This window comes from Homo sapiens, chromosome 3 (assembly GCF_000001405.40).
Source record: "Homo sapiens chromosome 3, GRCh38.p14 Primary Assembly".
Classification (NCBI taxonomy): Eukaryota; Metazoa; Chordata; class Mammalia; order Primates; family Hominidae; genus Homo; species Homo sapiens.
In genome coordinates, this window is record NC_000003.12 from 153261588 (window position 1) to 153264880 (window position 3293).

Sequence of the window (3293 nt, forward strand, 5' to 3'; positions counted from 1 at the left end):
TTTTATTTTATTTTATTGAGACGGAGTCTCACTCTGTCGCCCAGGCTGGAGTGCAGTGGCGAGATTTTGGCTCACTGCAAGCTCCGCCTCCCGGGTTCATGCCATTCTCCTGCCTCAGCCTCCTGAGTAGCTGGGACTACAGGCGCCTGCCACCACGCCCGGCTGATTTTCTTTTGTATTTTTAGTAGAGACGGGGTTTCACTGTGTTAGCCAGGATGGTCTCAATCTTCTGGCCTCATGATCTGCCTGCCTCAGTCTCCCAAAGTGCTGGGATTACAGGGGTGAGCCACCACGTCCGGCCAACTCATATTTTAAGTTTTAAGAATATACAGTGAAAACACAGGAAGGTATAATTCATCACAGATCTTTAATTTGTTAACAATTGTATATAGGTCACAAATTATAGAAGACAAATTATAATAGACCATCACCTCATCTTTCTCAAGAAATTATGTTTGGTAGGCTGCTCTGACCCTATGTCCATTGTCAACATTTTTCTTAATGACCAACTAGTTATTCTGCAACCTTGTTTACTTGCTCTGTATCTAAGTAAGCACTGATATCTTCTCTTTTTTTTTTTTTTTTGTTTGGGATGGAGTCTCACTCTGTCGCCCAGGCTGGAGTGCAGTGGCGCGATCTCGGCTCACTGCAAGCTCCACCTCCCGGGTTCATGCCATTCTCTTGCCTCAGCCTCCCGAGTAGCTGGGACTACAGGTGCCTGCCACCATGCCCGGCTAATTTTTTGTATTTTTAGTAGAGAAGGGGTTTCACCGTGTTAGCCAGGATGGTCTCGATCTCCTGACCTCGTGATCCGCCCATCTCGGCCTCCCAAAGTGCTGGGATTACAGGTGTAAGCCACCGTGCTGGGCCAATATCTTCTAACTAACACTCTAAGGTTCATATATCTTTCTTAGGTTGAAAAAATTATCTCATATAAAAACTAATGATTTACATTTGTTGTATGGGGGAAGGAAAATAGAGTTGTTCCATGGCAACTAATAGAGTGAGATTTCGGAAGTCTTCATTTTGAATTTCCTCTAAGTATTCAGTAGTAATGATTTCCCCAGGGCTTTGAGTGTGCTATATCCTCATCCCTGTCCAACAGTTAAACAGCAAGTTCTACAGGAAAGTGCTATTCTAGGCTTTTTGCTTATATAAATTATTTAATCCTTCCAAAAACACTGTAAGACAAGTCTACTATTAATAGCTCCATTTTACAGTGAAGAAAATAAAATATAGGGAGGTTAAGTACCTCACTCAAGGTCACAGCTAGTAGCAGTGGGACCATCATTCCCGCCAGGATAGTCTTACTTCAGATACCATGATTTTCACCCCTGAGCTTTCTCCACACGTCCAGCCTCTTACAGGCCAGAGCAGAAAATGGTAATGCACAAAACAGCCATGTTGTCTTCTAGTATTAAGTATGGAAGAGAAGATTAACAAGAGATTAACATTCACCATCTTGAAATGGAAAAGTGGACAAAAAATTCAGGGGAGAAATTAGTCTCAGGTAGTTATTTATTCAAATAAGTCAATATCTGTATCCTCTTTCCTCTTGAAATTACAGCTTACATTGCTAGTACATGGAATCTCATTATATCATCCTTCAAAATTTCTCTGAAAATATGTTTGTCTTCATCATATTATGTTTACCTTGTACTCGGAAACTTGCATACTTGCTAATGGAATTGTATGTGTTGTTATGCAACTTCTTAAGCCATTTTCAGCCTTTTGAGAAGGGGAATTGTTAGTCTTAAGACTACTATTAAGGTCAGTTGAAAAGCAGTCATCTGTCAAATCTTTGGATATGAGGGCATATGGGTCAATTATCTACAGCATTGCAGGGAAGATACAGAGAAATAGGGATCTTGAGCTGGAGGGCCCCATGGGGTTAACATAGGCTAAAAGGAAGTTCTGCCTGACTAGTGGATTCCAAGAAAACAGGAGCATGCCATGTTGTGAAGTGAAAAAGAGCACTGGATTTGGAGTGAGGAGGTCTAGAATTAAATGTTAGTGCTACAAATGCTACTTACACAAGCTGATGTGAGTTATTTAACCTCTTGGATTCCTGGCTTTCTTTGAAGCTCTTAGGATTAAATAAGAAGATAGATATAAATATGCTGTGAATTGTTACATATATTTGAGCATTAAAAAAAAAAAGATGGACAGTGGGCACTAAATTAGACAAGCACGCTGGTATGTGTCCCTGATGTGACAGAATAGTAGTTTCCTAGTAGTGGTCAAATGCCATGATGGGTAATCCAGATCAGGAGTTGGAATTTTAGACCTCAGGGACATCTGTGAAGAGTTACCAGAACTCTAGCCACTGGGCTGGGGTTCGGATAGAAAGTTCCAGTTTTGAATATATTAAGATGCTAGGCAAACCTTTGGTTATTCAAAAAGGAAGAGACCAGATCTTGGGTATCAGCTGGACTAGTAGTAAGAGTTCCATGTTCTGTGCTCCATAACGTGGGCTAAAAAGTGCCTTCAATCTTTTCGACTAGTAGGTAGAGTTGAGTCTGAAGATGGAGCTCTGGCTGTGGGTTAAAAGGGACCCTGCCAAGTCTGGGAACCTGATCCTAGCCTTCCAAAGTAATGGATTGGCTGGGCACAGTGGCTTACACCTGTAATCCCAGCACTTTGGGAGGCCGAGGCGGGCAGATCACAAGGTCAAGAGTTCTAAACCAGCCTGGTTCATATGGTGAAACCCTGTCTCTACTAAAAATACAAAAATTAGCCAGGCGTGGTGGCATGCGCCTGTAGTCCCAGCTACTTGGGAGGCTGAGGCAGGAGCACTGCTTGAACCCGGGAGGCAGAGGTTGCAGTGAGTCGAGATCATGCCACTGCACTCCAGCCTGGTCGACTCCATCTCAAAAACAAACAAACAAACAAACAAACAAAAACAAAGTAATAGATCACACATGATTCTTGGGTTACAGAAATGGAGACAGCTTCAAGTGGGTGGAAAATGAGGACTCAAAGGTGACTTTGTGGTTTCTAACCAGAGTGTCTGGGGCCACATATCTAATTTACAAAGGTTGCAGTGTGGGGAGTCAAAGGTGAGAAATAAGAGAGATGGGAAGAGAGTAATATTCTAGAAAGGCAGATTAGGATGATGGTTGGGCAGTCATGAGATGCTGTTGGAACTGTAGGCTTAGCACTCAGAAGCAAAATTAGAACTAGAGGTATGAGTTTTAGAAATTCTCCATAGATACTGGTACAAAAACAGACACATAGACCAATGGAACACAATGGAGATCTCAGACCACACATCTATCTACAACCACGTGATC